Source organism: Homo sapiens, chromosome X, assembly GCF_000001405.40.
Source record: "Homo sapiens chromosome X, GRCh38.p14 Primary Assembly".
Taxonomy (NCBI): Eukaryota; Metazoa; Chordata; class Mammalia; order Primates; family Hominidae; genus Homo; species Homo sapiens.
The window spans coordinates 32,632,854-32,647,529 of record NC_000023.11 but is presented as its reverse complement, the minus strand read 5'-3'; the positions used below and the strand labels follow the sequence as shown (position 1 = coordinate 32,647,529).

Sequence of the window (14,676 nt, the reverse complement as noted above, 5' to 3'; positions counted from 1 at the left end):
GTAGGAAAGGATATGATAGGGTTTCTTGGTCGTTTGTATTTTCTTGAAAAAATTGCCTTCTTGCTGCATTTGAAGCAGGGTCTGGTTCAGATAGGAAGCATTATCTCCCAGGGCTGCCAGCAACCTTGTTTACTCAGTTATAGACATAACACACTTACGCCATATTCTTTGAATCTTACTAAACTTACTGTGAGCTCACCAGACTTCTGTGCTTCTAGGGCATTGAAAATGCTATATGCAAATAGGACAGATACACATATTATACCACCTGTCTCCTCTGCGCATGTGCATCCTTCATTGCACATAGGACTTCACTTCTAAAACACAAATTCAAAAATAAAATTATTTACAATTTCAGGATAGTATCAGCAGATAATAGAGGCATGTGTTTCTTCTGCGCTCAGGGCCCTGTGCAACTGCTCAGGTTGCACAAACGTGAAGCTGGTTCCACCTGCGCACATCTCTCAGGCTGCCTTTATATCATTTTCCCCCTTAATGCTGACTTTGATAGTTATTATTAATAGTATTTAGAGACGGAAGAGATACACCATGGAAGTTGTTCTAACCCCTAAGACCTTCAGAAATTGCCTTACTGTTAGACAAGGGTTCCATGCAAATAGCCCTTTCAGTGCACTTACCCTCTTTGATATGATGAAGTTCGGTGATTTTGACTTACCAGGATGACCTTTCTCTGCCACTTTTATAGAAACTGGAAAAAGAGTGCATCATTTGATGAAAATGTCATTGCAATAACTGCCACTATGCCTTGTCATCTCGAAGGACTTAACAGTTGGGGAAATTTAAAATATTGAATTTTCAAAATTTGAGCATTTATCAGAAGAGCACAAGTAAGTTGGTGCTGGCAGCTTAGTGGGTTAATTCCCAGAACTGAGAAGGACAGGAAATGTAGCACATACACACCAGGGGAAAGCCACCAAAGGTTGAATTTTCTCTGGGTGAGATTATGAAATCCCCCAAACAGCTTCTGTTGTTCTACACTGCTTTTTGATTCCTTTACAAAACCCTGTTTGTTAGGGGGCCCCGTGCTTGCTTGCAATATTTGTGGAATGCAGAAGATTCTTCTACAAATATTTCTCCAATATTTGTTTGTTCTGCTCACCTCCGTAAATAGTATGCCTATGTCCTTGACCTCAGCAAAGTCCCTCTTGAGCATGTTCTCAGGATTTTTGAAGCCCGGCGACCTGCAAGGAGTACACTCCTCCCAAAGCAAAACCTCCTGCAAACTTAGTAGTTTACTCAAATTTTTGCCCTTGATAAATGCCTTTAGGTTAAAGCAGCAGACATGTAGTTTATCCCAAGAAGCCTCTCCTGTCACTTGAGTGTATGGTTCCTATAGCATGCAAATCTCTGCAAACATATGGCCAGGTTTACAGCTCATGTAAACTACCCCGTCTCTATTACTTGGCTTCAGATGGGGAGAAGTTAGAGCCACGCAGAGCGCTCCAGCCTCTCCAGAGGAAGCCTTTCTCACCAGATTTTTCTAATCGACCTCCTTGCTTGCTCTTACACACCTTTAAGCTAGATATTGGATTAAGGGTTGTGAGACCAATTTTGTGATCACTTCTTAGCAATTTTTTAACAGGTACCCTGGATCTTCTCTTTAGAATTATGGATGCTTCGTACACTTTGCTCTTGGCTTTAGGGTCCAGACGGAAATTCCAAGACAACCATTTGCATTCTCACTTAATATCCTGCTAATTAAATTGGGTAAAGCATACTTCATATTTTAGTTCTTCTAAGATAATGTCTTACTATTTAAATCGTGGCCTTCTGGAAATAAAGGCTAAATCACAGAAGTCATTATGCTGTTAGAAATTTTAGATGGGTGGGTGAGGTATTTTTTTTCTTTCTAAATTTTGCCTTCCTTTCCCCTACCTCCTTGTTTTCTTACTGATGCCTTTACTGGTCTGTAAATATTTGGAAATATTTCATTACCTAGGGCCTCTCAGGAAGAGATATTTCCTTTAATGCCATTGCAGAGGTATGTAAATATAATTCTGATAATGTATATGTAAGTTATTATAAATAAGAAATGAGGAAAGTTCCTACAGATCAATATTTATAGCATTTAAAAAGCAACATGAGGTGATATACTAATTTACTCCTTCCAGTAATCTAGAAGAGCTTTAATACAATATTAATTTGGTGTGGATTTTGACCGCTATTTGAAAATTGATGTATGCATGAGGAAGTTAAAATGAAAACTCCCTATTGTCTGTATCTGCTGTTCCTGTGTTTGATAATGCCAGTGGACAGTCCTAGCATTTTAAATATTTCATTCGATTCATCATTTAATGTACTGGAACAATCTGCAAAGACATTAATTGTGTAACACCCAATTTATTTTATTGTGCAGCATTTGGAAGCTCCTGAAGACAAGTCATTTGGCAGTTCATTGATGGAGAGTGAAGTAAACCTGGACCGTTATCAAACAGCTTTAGAAGAAGTATTATCGTGGCTTCTTTCTGCTGAGGACACATTGCAAGCACAAGGAGAGATTTCTAATGATGTGGAAGTGGTGAAAGACCAGTTTCATACTCATGAGGTAAACTAAAACGTTAATTTACAAAACAAAACATATGACTTGTTATAATGGCAAGTCATCCTTTTTCCTCAATTACTCTCTTACATCCTTGTATTTTGGAAATTTAGTTACTATGATGTGCTTGGGATTCCAACAGTCAGATTTTGAAGTTTTCTTTTGGAGAGCAACCATTGAAGGCATTTCTACCTGATCGGCCAACAGGAATACGAAAGCCCAACTTCTTTCTCTTGTGTCAAGGCAGTGCTGAGGCATTACTTACATTCCTGAGTTGATGTATGGTATTGGGCTTAACTTCTCTCAGTGGGAGACTTTTCCTGAGATGATACACTCGTTTGGCTTCTTTCCCTTCCCTGTCCTTTTTCCTCCATCTTCAACTCCCTTGCGGAACTTCCTGGGAGCTCTTCCTTAATAAATCACTTGCACTGAAGTCCTTATCTCGGGGCCTGCTTCTGAAGAACTTGACTTAAGATAATTTTCCTTAATTCATATTAAAAGTGGTTTTGGGATTCTGCAAATACAAATTAAATTCCTTTTACTGGGAATATAAATCTAAATGGGCCACAAGTTTAAAACTGCAAACAAATAAAACTCAAAACCACACCGATTTACCTAGAGTTCTAATTACAATTGTTAACTTCCTTCTTTGTCAGGGGTACATGATGGATTTGACAGCCCATCAGGGCCGGGTTGGTAATATTCTACAATTGGGAAGTAAGCTGATTGGAACAGGAAAATTATCAGAAGATGAAGAAACTGAAGTACAAGAGCAGATGAATCTCCTAAATTCAAGATGGGAATGCCTCAGGGTAGCTAGCATGGAAAAACAAAGCAAGTAAGTCCTTATTTGTTTTTAATTAAGAAGACTAACAAGTTTTGGAAGCTTGTGATTATTTTGATGTGGTTTGATGGTTAAGTTACGATTCTCAGTTTGTTCCCAAGGCACACAGCTTTCTTTCAAGGGAGACTGGTTGGATTTTCATAGAAATAACATTTTGGTTTTCACTTTTGTAACTAAAAGAGCAGATGTTAGATAGATGCACTGTTATCTACAGAACTATGTTTTAAGATTTGCCAAAATTCTGTCATAGTTATTATTTTCTAGGTTTTCCTCCAAACATTAAAATGTCACTATAAAAGGCACAGAAGCATGCACAGGAGATTGTGTACATAAAATCACCTATTAGCTATAGTTGACACGAAACTTCTCTTCTGAAGAAAAAGCCCTTGAAAATATTAAAGAGTTACTCATCTATATATGGAAATCCTCTTGAAAAACATTATTCAAACGTTTTGGGAAATTCTTATTAAAATACAGTATGGCTATGAATTATCTTAAGAATATATATTGACTTAATAAAAAAGAGGATTTGAGACATTTCTGAAAAATGACATATTTCTTATAAAGGTAACAAGCAGATCTCATCATTCTGGATATGTGTTTTGATTTATATTGTTAGGTGTGTATATTCATGTAAAGCCTATCAAGACAAGATAGATTTATTTTTAAATGAAAAGAAATGAAGTGCCAACTGTGGATTTGAATACATTAAGTGAAAAAAATTGTCCAAATGCCTTAAGTTTATTTAACTATTATTTATGAAGTTCAAAAGCGTTAAAAAAAAAAAAGGACCAAGGAAACTCATTAGATATGCTAGAAGGATTGGTATTCCAGTACTAAATTATAGTGTGAAATTATGGAGGGGAAAAACACATTTTTAAGCTCAGGCCTTTTGAAAGAATAAATAAGGTACATGTAAGATAGAGGTTTCATAACTATATATGTATTCCAAGCCAGGAGATACTAATCTATGCATATTGATATTATTCGCCTGCTGTGATCGTGGTGATGATTGTCACTACCCCTAGATGTGAGAGGTACAATAATCATATTATAACTGTTGAGTCTGCCCACTCCCCAGTGTTTACCAGGTCCACTAATTTACTCCATCTATTATCGATATTAAGATATAAGCTGCCTTCTGTGGTCATATGCCAACATTCTTCAGGTTAGAACTTCTATTTGCAGTGATCTGTGGAACTTAAAGCAACCTCAAACAAAATTAGAAAGTTTTGAAAATCCAACCACCTCTTTACTGTCCTTGCCATAATAGCCACCAGTGTCTTCTCCTTTGTGCACTCTAGGTTTCCATCCTCTCCTGGAGGCTAAATGCTCTCATTTTTCTTACACTCCCCATTTTCAATAAAACTAACAATATGGCATTAATTATTCATACTAATCAGTTAATTAATTGCTGTGTGAAATTGAGTTGCAAGAAAATATGAATTCCTCCTGGAATTAAAATTGCAACTTTTTCTTTGCTTATCTGAAACATAAAAAAAGTCTTTTATCTGTGATTCTAACATTTAAAAAGATGTTCATTCAAAAATTCCCCCCTTCAAGGGATGTCTGCCATTAAGTGAAGGATGACAGACACCTAGACTTCTGTGCGTGTAATTTCCTCATCCCCATCCCACTAGAGAATGGAAATGCTAAAATGGCAGTATTACCACCTAGCTGAGATTGACATAAAAAATTAGTTTGTCCTTAGGGAAGATTCAAGAGCTTTTGTACGTGTTACAGCTTTTAGAATAATTATTAAGAAGGCAAGGAGAGCCTTCTAGCTGGTATAGCTTTTGCTAAAACATCTCACAGAGTTTTTAAAATGAGACACGTACATGTAACCACTTCTATCACATAGACTTTTCTGGAAAATTCCTTAAAAATGAATATACAAAGCATTATTTGAGCAACACAAATTCAGAAATAATATGAGAGTTTATAAATAACAGTCTTCCTTGCCACTTTGACTATGTATGTGTTCGTGCATAAAACCTATTAAATTCTAATGTGATAAGCCATTATGTAAGCTTTGCTGAACCTGATTTTTGAAAGATTTTGTGAGAGGAAACAAAAAACGTGATTATGAAAAGAGGGTATTGTCATTATTTTTAAAAAACTAATCTAGGTTTTACTTAATGCTTCAAATAAATTATAACCTGTTCAGTTTCCATTATCATGGTCATGAGAATGGATTATCTCCAATGATTAGCTTCAACTTGGAGCATTACCTATTTTTTTTCTAAATATATGATTACTTCAGAGTAGAAGATTACTAGTAAACAAAAATGGATTCATCGATACTTCTTTTCTCTCTCTACCTAAGACAGGGTTTGGATAGATCCAGTCGGAAGCCATTATTTCCTGCCTAAGCCTTGGTTTAGCGATTAGAGAAATGATAATTAACATTTGTCTAGTCATATTAAGTATATCCAAAGCTATGCTATAATTTCTAAGTTGATATAACAAAAGTTAAAAACTTCTTGTAAATACAGATAAGCTTATCACTAAAATCTATGAACATTTACACTTAGCAATTATTAATCCTATCTACCAACATACTTACTATTAGGTTGCTGCAAAAGTAATCATGTTTTTTTCCATTGTAAGTAATGGGAAAAACTGTAATTACTTTTGTACCAACCTAATAGCAACATCAAATTATATTTGATATATAGTCATTGTGAGATATATATATATATATATATATATATATACGTATAAAATACACATATATCTCTCTATATGAACAAATATTAATGGAATACATTATCAAAAACAATTAATGGCACTGGAGACTCAATAATGATCATACAAGGTCTGGCCCCAGATCTCATGAAACATATTCTGTAGAGGCTGGCAGCCAAGAAAAAAAAGAACACAAGAAAAATACCGGATAGGAATATAGTTTTTGAAGAGATTAAAATGTAATGTGATAGAGAATGGTTGAGGGGAGGCTACTTTAGACTTTGTGATCCAGGTAAGACTTTGAAGGTTGGTACCATTTAGTTTGAGATTTGAATGACAAGAAGGTACCACTATTTGCAGATCACAAGGAAGTGTGGTTCACGGATTAGGAACAGCTAATGCAAAGGCCCAAAAATAGGGACAGTTTGGCTTGCTGGAGGAACCAAAAGGCCAGGGGGACTGTAGAGTTGCAGGGTGGTAAGTTAGATGGCTGAGGTCTGAGATGGGGTTGAAATATAGGTAGGAGACTGATTACATATTGTAGTGTCAGTCAGGGCTTTGAATAAGGGCTTTGAATTCTAGACTAAGTGCAAGACAAAGCCATCAGATTTTATGTAGGTGAGAGATAGGTCAAGAAAACCTATCAGGAAGGCCACTGGAGGAAGAGAGGACAGTTATTAGGCCAGTGAAGTTGGCCAGTTAAGACACAGTAGTGTCTTAGACCAGCTGGTAGTTGTGATAAAAGTATACTTTACTATCTTAGCCATTTAGTTATTTTAAAAACCACTTCTCTGTTTAGTTTTAGTTCCTATTTTTTTTTCCTTTTGACAGTAAAAGTGCTTTTTCCTTTGGAAATAGACTGCTTCAATTTGTGCCCACAGTTACTATTATTCAAGTTGCATCTAGGAAATAATATTTATCCCATAAACCATCAACAATTATGCAAAACAAGAAATATTAAAAATACAAAGATAATAGCGTGCCCTGATTTCTGCCTTACATAAAATCCTCTCCAGTTTGCCTAAGGAATAAGGGCTTGCTTTCTCAAACACTTATTTATGTGAACTGGGGCAATATACTTTTCTTTTCTGTTCTCTACTTTATAGTTTTGTAAAACAGCAATAGTGTCATGAGGCTGACATACCTCTGAAAGATACTAGATGAGATAGGGTATAAAAAGTTAGTTTGTGAATGCAAAATTATTATAAAATGTGAAGAAAGATAACTGTGATAAATAAGATGATGAGCTGTCAGTTAACTATTTTACCATACCATGTCACTTTTTATATGTAATTTGATATTTTCTATATGAAGTATTATATAATTTTATATATAATTATATTTCATATATTTTGTATAATAACTTATATATAATTTTTTAACTTTTAAAAAAATTTTGCAGGGAATGAGGTCTTGTTATGTTTCCCAGGCTAGTCTCAAGCTCCTGGCCTCAAGTGATCCTCTCCCACCTTGGCCTCCCAAAGTACTAGTATTACAGACCTGAGCTACCAAACCTGACCCTCATAGATGTTTTTTACTTTTTTTCTCCAGCCTTTTCTAATTGCCTCAGTCATTTTTTTTTCCCAAAGAGTATAGCTGTGGTTATTTTGTATGGGGATAAGGGAGCATGAGCAGGATGATTAGAAATACATTTGCAGTTATTTTTTCACAATGGCAACATTTAAAAATATGCTTACAAAGGAATGTCAGGAAAGATAACCATACAGATACTTCCTCCTTTCTTTCTCCTTCATAACCACACTCTCATTTGATTCTTTCCTTGCTATTGTATTTTCCCTCCAATTCTGTTGCTTTTATGGACATAAATTTCTGATGAGGTAAAAGCTAATACAATAAAGAAGTTTATTAACACATCTCCAGTCACAAATGAGTTTGGCACGTGCCGATACTGGTCAATTACAAAACTTTACCAATGTTTATATGATTTAAATGAGAAAACTAAGTGCCATTCCTTTCATAATGTAGTGTTTAAAACAAGAGAATATTGATGTGGTTTTGTTAGAACCCCTTAAGAGGAGTAAGCCAATGATTTTTTTTTTAATGCTGTGGAATACACTTGGGATGGTAGGAGGTAAGGAATTCGGAAGAAAAACACACAACTTCCAACTGTGGAAGTGCAAGAAGACAACTGGCACAGGGAAAACAGAAGATTTTCTTCTCTATGAATAAACTAATTAATTTGATTGAAAAATGCAACCTGCAGAGAGCAAAAAAGATTTACTGACATTTTTATAAGGACTCAAAGTTAAGCACAGCAAGTTCCATCAACTTTTCTGATAATTGTAGTTAGGACATGCAGGCAGAAACTAAAACTTCTGTGACGGTAAGGGAAAAAAATGAAAGCAAGTCAGGAGGCCAAGTGAAGTTGTGTTTTTTGGTTTATATCAGCAGGAGGAGAGATATGAATAGTATCTGGGTAGATACACAAGCCATAATATGGAAAATAATTGTGAATCACCATCAATGCTTTGACTGGACAGAAAAATACATCTAACAAATATGGCTCATCTCTTTTTTTTTCCCCCAAGTGTCTATTTGACTCTGGAAATAAGATGGCATATGTGAGAGTGGATAGAGAAAAGGAGGTGCTGAACAAATGAGTGGGTTATTTTCTCCCAAGTGCAGTGAAGTTTGCGTATGTGAATATATGAATGAATAGATGAACAACTAAATTAAGTTATTCAGGTAATTCCAATCTTGGAATTGAATTCGTTGCAGTAAATACTTTGGAGGTGCACAATCTCAAACTCCTAATTGTGATTTTATTTCACAATTTGGTAAGTTCATTGATTTTTCTGTTTTACTTCTTCCAGTAATGTTAAGCAATAGTAACTTGCAGATCAAGGTGGTGTAGGACCAGTAGCATCAGCGTCACCTGAGAACTTGTTAAAAATGCAGACTCTCAGCTCTCATTCTGATATATACAGAATCAGAATTGTGCAGTTTAGCAATATCCCAGGTGATCCCTGATCAGTTTAAGTTTGAGAAGCACTGATCTAACTGAAATTAAGACAGAGTAGAAATCTCAACTTCTTTGTAAACCTCTACTTAGATATCTTCTGTTCCTATTTTTCTATCAAGTGACGTGGGCCAAATATTTTAATTACTTTCTCAGGAGCTCTAAAAATGGTGCTGATATTTCATTCAGTCCTCATATGTTGATATCATACCCCATGGGTGATTAAGCAGTAGCAAGATTCTGGTGCAATAATATATAACAGACAATATATGAGTGTTGATGAGTATTGATAATTAAGCTATTGGACTAATAAGAAGTAGGAATTATTTATAGATGATAACGTGACATTCGGTTAGGTTGCACATGGATTATGGTCATAATAATTTTTCTGTCAATAATTAAAAATGTGATAATGCAGCTAAATGTGGACATCTCTTGTACTAATAATACAATGCATGTGACTCATAGTTTAAATTACAGGAAAGCTAAATTTCTGGAATTCACAGAAATGAGAGAGCCGTATCTTCAAAAACAATGCTTTCTCACAAAGATAAATAATGCTGATATGGTTTGGCTCATCTTGAATTGTAGTTCTCATAATCCCCATGTGTTGTGGGAGGGACCTGGTGGAAGGTAATTGAATCATGGGAGTGTAACCCTCATGCTGTTCTCATGATAGTGAGTGAGTTCTCACAAGATCTGATGGTTTTATAAGGGGCCTTTCCCCTTTTGCTTGGCCCTTCTTCCTGCTGCCATGTGAAGAAGGACATGTTTGCTTCCCCTTCCATCATGATTTTTTCTGAGGCCTCCCCAGCCATGCCGAACTGTGAGTCAATTAAACTTGTTTTCTTTATAAATTATCCAGTCTCTATTATGTCTTTAATTAGCAGCGTGAGAACAGACTAGTACAGTACATTGGTACCGCAGAGAGTGGGGTGCTGCTATAAAGATACCCGAACACGTGGAAGTGACTTTGGAACTGGGTAACAGCCAGGGGTTGGAACAATTCAAATTAAACTAATAGACTATCTCAGAGAGCAGATTTAATAGAAGTTGACATTTTAATCTTAGTACAAAAATTCCCAATCAGAAATATCAAAACTATGTCTTGTTCATAATTAAGTTATACTACTTATACATTGAAGAAATATTTATTGAGTGTGTAGTATGTGCCAGGCACTGTGCCAGATGCTATGTAGTGGCAAAATTTTTGAAGTTGAGAGTGAGCTTCTATTTCCACATAAATGAATAGAATTTCAGAGTGTCAACATTACCTATTCTTACTAGAGATAATTTAAACAGTCTTCCAAACGTGATATATTCATATTTGTCCTTGGCTCCTGATGACATCTGCCAATTTCTTTATTTTCTTTAAAAGCATTTAATCAGGAAGATTGATTTGAGGGTTGCCATAATGTATTTGCCACAAGAATCTTTTTCTTTTTCTTTTTCTTTTTTTTTTGAGACAGAGTCTCCCTGTCTCCCAGGCTGGAGTGCAGTGGCGCTATCTCGGCTCACTGCAAGCTCCGCCCCCCGGGTTCACGCCATTCTCCTGGTTCAGCCTCCCCAGTAGTTGGGACTACAGGTGCCCGCCACCACGCTCGGCTAACTTTTTGTATTTTTAGTAGAGACGGGGTTTCACCATGTTATTCAGGATGGTCTCGACCTCCTGACCTCGTGATCCACCTGCCTTAGCCTCCTCAGCCTCAGTGCTGGGATTACAGGCATGAGCCACCACGCCTGGCCAAGAATCTTTTGCATCCAGCCACGCAGCTTCTTTATGTTATTGTTACTAAACTGAATTTATGTTTTCAAAATGAAAATAAATGTGTTTGCATTTGAACTTTAATGTTGCCTCGGATAGTTGAAAAATATTAATAATTAAACTGTTCAGCTATATGGATGGAGGACAAAAATGGATCAGGATTTGAAAACAATGACACATTTTCGATTTTCTCATAGAATTCAGTATAAAAACAATACTATTTCTCACATTCCATTAAGTAGGAAAATAAATGTTAGTGCATGTTTAATTTTGTGAAAAACTGGAACATTTTCCTTCATTTCTAGTTGTTGGATGGGGAACTTTATATTAGGTTCTTTCTGAACTATTTACTGTGAGGTTGTAATTTAAAGTTTGACCTCCAAGATCAGGTTGCAGGGTGCAGTATAATAACTATGGCAATTAGTGGGAATTTTTGAAAATGATACATGACATGCTCTCCTTGGCTTCTTTCCTAGCCCAAGATGTCAGCATACTTCGTGTTGGGAAAGAAGGTGCTGTAAAGAGGAGAATGAACACATTAGTTTTAGGGGGATAAAAACTGTATAATTTTGTCAGACCTTGCCTCACTTCATTCTCCAATGGAAACTACTATATTAGTGCCTAAGATTTATACACACCGTGACACCATGCAGTGTCAGGCTTTGCAGCTGAGTCTAGTAAGGAATACCAGAATTTGGAGGAAAGCAGATCTAGTTACTGAGGCAAGTAGGTAAACTAGGCCAGTAGGGTTTCTACAGCTTCACAGATGCTGAGGGTACCCATTCAGAAAGTTAGCATGAGAACTAGAGGACAATAGCGATGGATGTACTTGTGGTAAAGGTGATGAGATAGTGAAAACAGTGACAGCTGAAGTCTTACACATTTGAGGGGGTAATTGGTTCTGTTTGGATTCTGGCTTTAAAGCTTATATTTCACAGGCCACTTATTGAACTTTGATAAACGTTATAAATCTTGGGAGTTGAAAAATACTAATATGCTTCCTATGGACCATTCATTATTGCCATGCAACAACAACAAAAAACTATGTGCATATGTTTGTACATGCACTACTCAAGCTTTTCTTTTAAATGAATGTTGCTTTTCTATATTAAAACATGTTTGCCATTTCTTGGATTATAATATATCATGATTTCTGATTCCTATATTTAATGATACACCATACATTTTAAAAATATCTAGTCATTTTATATGGTCACCATATATTTGAGGGAAAATGAGTCTCGAAGTTTATTGTGGAGGAGGTGGAGAAAAATCGCCAAACAGAAGCCTCCAGTAATTATCCCTGTTGCAGGAACATCAAATTGAACAACTGTCCACACTAGAAAAGCACCTTCATAAGAGTGAAAAATTAGGTGCATGATCGTAGTACCTGGTTTTTGGGTTGTATCACAGAAAGAGGCACAGAAGAGGGTAGTAAAGGCAATATTCTATCACCTATACCAGCTCTCCCTCATCCATGGCAGCAGTCACATGGCATGAAGAGAGAGTCTATGTGCTTGCAGAAGGGAGATTGCAGTGATTATAGGACTTTGCATTGAAAATCAGTGCTGCCCTGTCACAGTGGAAACCGACAAAGAACAGAACTCAGCCAAATCCCGCAGAGGGAGCATTTAGATGAACCCTAGACAGGGAAGAATCATCCATCCCAGTGTTTGGAACCTGAGTTCCGGCAAGCCTTGTCATCATGGATTAGAGTGCTCTGTGGTTCTAAATAAACTTCAAAGGTAGTCTAGGCCACAAGGACTGCAGTTCCTTTGCAAGTCCTGGTGCTGTGCCGGGCTCAGAGTCAGTGGACTTGGGATACATACAACCTAGTGAGACATCCGCTGGGGCAGCTAAGGGACTGCTTGTGCTTCCCTTCCCCCAACCCCAGGCAGCACAGCTCACAGCTCCAGGAAAGACTCCTTCCTTCCGCTTATGAAGAAGAGAGGAGACAAGAAAGAGAACTTTGTCTTGCTGCTTGGATACCAGCTCAGACATACAATAGGATAGGGCACCAGGCAGAGTCTTGAGGTCCCCATTCCAGGCCCTAGCTCACAGATAACATTTCTGAACACACCCTGGGCCAGAAGAGAGCCTGTCACCTTGAAGAGAAGGACCCCGTCCTGGCAGAATTCATGACATGCTGACCAAAGGGACCTAGGGCCCTGAATAATCAGCAGCTGTAGCCAGGCAGTACTTGCTGTGGGTATTGGGTGAGACTCAGAGCTGTGATGGTTTCAGGTGTGACCCAGTACATTCCCAGCTGTGGTGGCTACAGGGAGAGAATCCTTCTGCTTCAGGAAAGGAGAGGTGAGAGTAAAGGGGACTTTGGCTTGCAGCTTGGGTTCCAGTTTGACCACAGTGGGGCAGAGCATCAAGTGGGCTCCTAGGGTCCCTGATTCCAGAGTTTGGCTCCTGGATTCCATTTTCTTACTGCCCTGAAGGGAGAGACTCAGGACTGACAGCATTCACCACAGGCTGGCCAAAGTGGCCTTGGCCCTTGAGTGAACATTGGACCTCAGACAGTACTCTCTTTGGTTCAGTAGTCGTCGTGGCCATGAGGAGAGACATCTCTGTTTGTGGAAAGGGGAGAGAAGAGAGGGAAGGACTTTATCTTTTGGGTGGGGTGCCAGCTTAGCCACAGTAGAATAGAGCACCAGGTAGATTTCTTAGGTTCTTGAGTTGATATAGTTTGGACATGTGTGCCTGCTCAAATCTCACGTTGAATTGTAGTAATCTGCAGTGTTTGAGGTAGGGCCTAGTGGGAGCTCATTGGATCATGGGGGCAAATTTTTCATAATTGGTTGCTACTGTCCTTGCAATAGTGAGTAAATTCTTGCAAGATCTGGTTGTTTAAAAGCGTGGCACCCTCCCTCTCACTCTTGCTCCTGCTGTGGCCATGTGATGTACCTGTTCCTCCTTCACCTTCTGCCATAATTGTAAGTTTCCTGAGGCCTCCCCAGCAGCTGAGCAGATGCCAGCATCATATTTCCTGTACAGCCTGTAGAACTGTGAGCCAATTAAGCGTCTTTTCTTTATAAATTACTCAGTCTCAGGTATTTCTTGATAGCAATGCGAGAGTGGCCTAGTACAGAAAATTGTTACCAAGAAGTGGGGCTTTGCTGTCAAGATACTTGAAAATGTAGAAGCTGCTTTGAAATTGGGTAACAGACAGAAGTTGGATGAGTTTGGAGGGCTCAGAAGAAGACAGATGAGGGAAAATTTGGAATGTCTTAGAGACTGGTTAAATGATTGTTACCAAAGTGCTGATACTGATATGCACAGTGAAGTCCAAGCTGTCGAGGTCTCAGATGGAAAGAATGAACTTATTGGCAACTGGAGTAAATGACATGTTTGTTATCCCTTAGCAAAGAAGTTGGCTGTATTATGTCCATGCTCTAGATATCTGTGAAAGTTTGAACTTGAGAGTGATGATCTCGTGTGTCTGACGGAATGAATTTCTAAGCAGCAAAATGTTCAAGACGTTGTGTGGCCACTTCTAACAACCTACTCTCTGATGCAGGAGCAAAGAAATAAGATGGAATATTTATTATTTTATTTTATTGTACTTTAAGTTCTGAGATACATGTGCAGAACGTGCAGGTTTTTTACATATTTATACATGTATATTTAAAAGGAAAGCAGACCATAAAGGTTTTCAAAATTTGCAACATGGATATGTGGTAGAAAATAAAAGCCCATTTTCAGGAGAACTCAAGAAGGCTTCTGAGCAACCACTTGCTAGAAAAATTTGTATACCTACAAAGAAGGCAAGTGCTGATAGCCAAGACAATGGGGAAAAAGGCCTGGAAGGCATTTCAGAGATCTAAAAGGCA

General features: G+C 37.6%; 1 protein-coding gene and 1 non-coding gene across 18 annotated transcripts in view, besides 1 other annotated feature; both read left to right on the top strand.

Moving 5' to 3' along the window:
• DMD (dystrophin) overlaps nucleotides 1-14,676 on the top strand; it is a 2,220,167-nt gene that overhangs the window by 691,859 nt on the left and 1,513,632 nt on the right. For all 17 annotated transcript variants that reach the window (XM_006724469.4, NM_000109.4, XM_011545467.2 and 14 more), the window contains 2 exon segments: nucleotides 2,378-2,566; nucleotides 3,217-3,398. In XM_006724469.4, coding sequence (XP_006724532.1) covers nucleotides 2,378-2,566; nucleotides 3,217-3,398 — 371 coding nt within the window.
• Nucleotides 2,519-3,080: an enhancer, noted in NCBI's record as "OCT4-NANOG hESC enhancer chrX:32662567-32663128 (GRCh37/hg19 assembly coordinates)". NCBI's record gives its function as "activates a minimal SCP1, AML or CMV promoter by ChIP-STARR-seq in primed H9 embryonic stem cells {active_cell/tissue: H9 hESC(primed)}" and the evidence as "EXISTENCE:reporter gene assay evidence [ECO:0000049][PMID:30033119]".
• MIR548F5 (microRNA 548f-5) lies at nucleotides 5,971-6,056 on the top strand. The gene has a single exon (NR_031646.1). It is a non-coding gene; the product is annotated as a microRNA 548f-5 (primary transcript).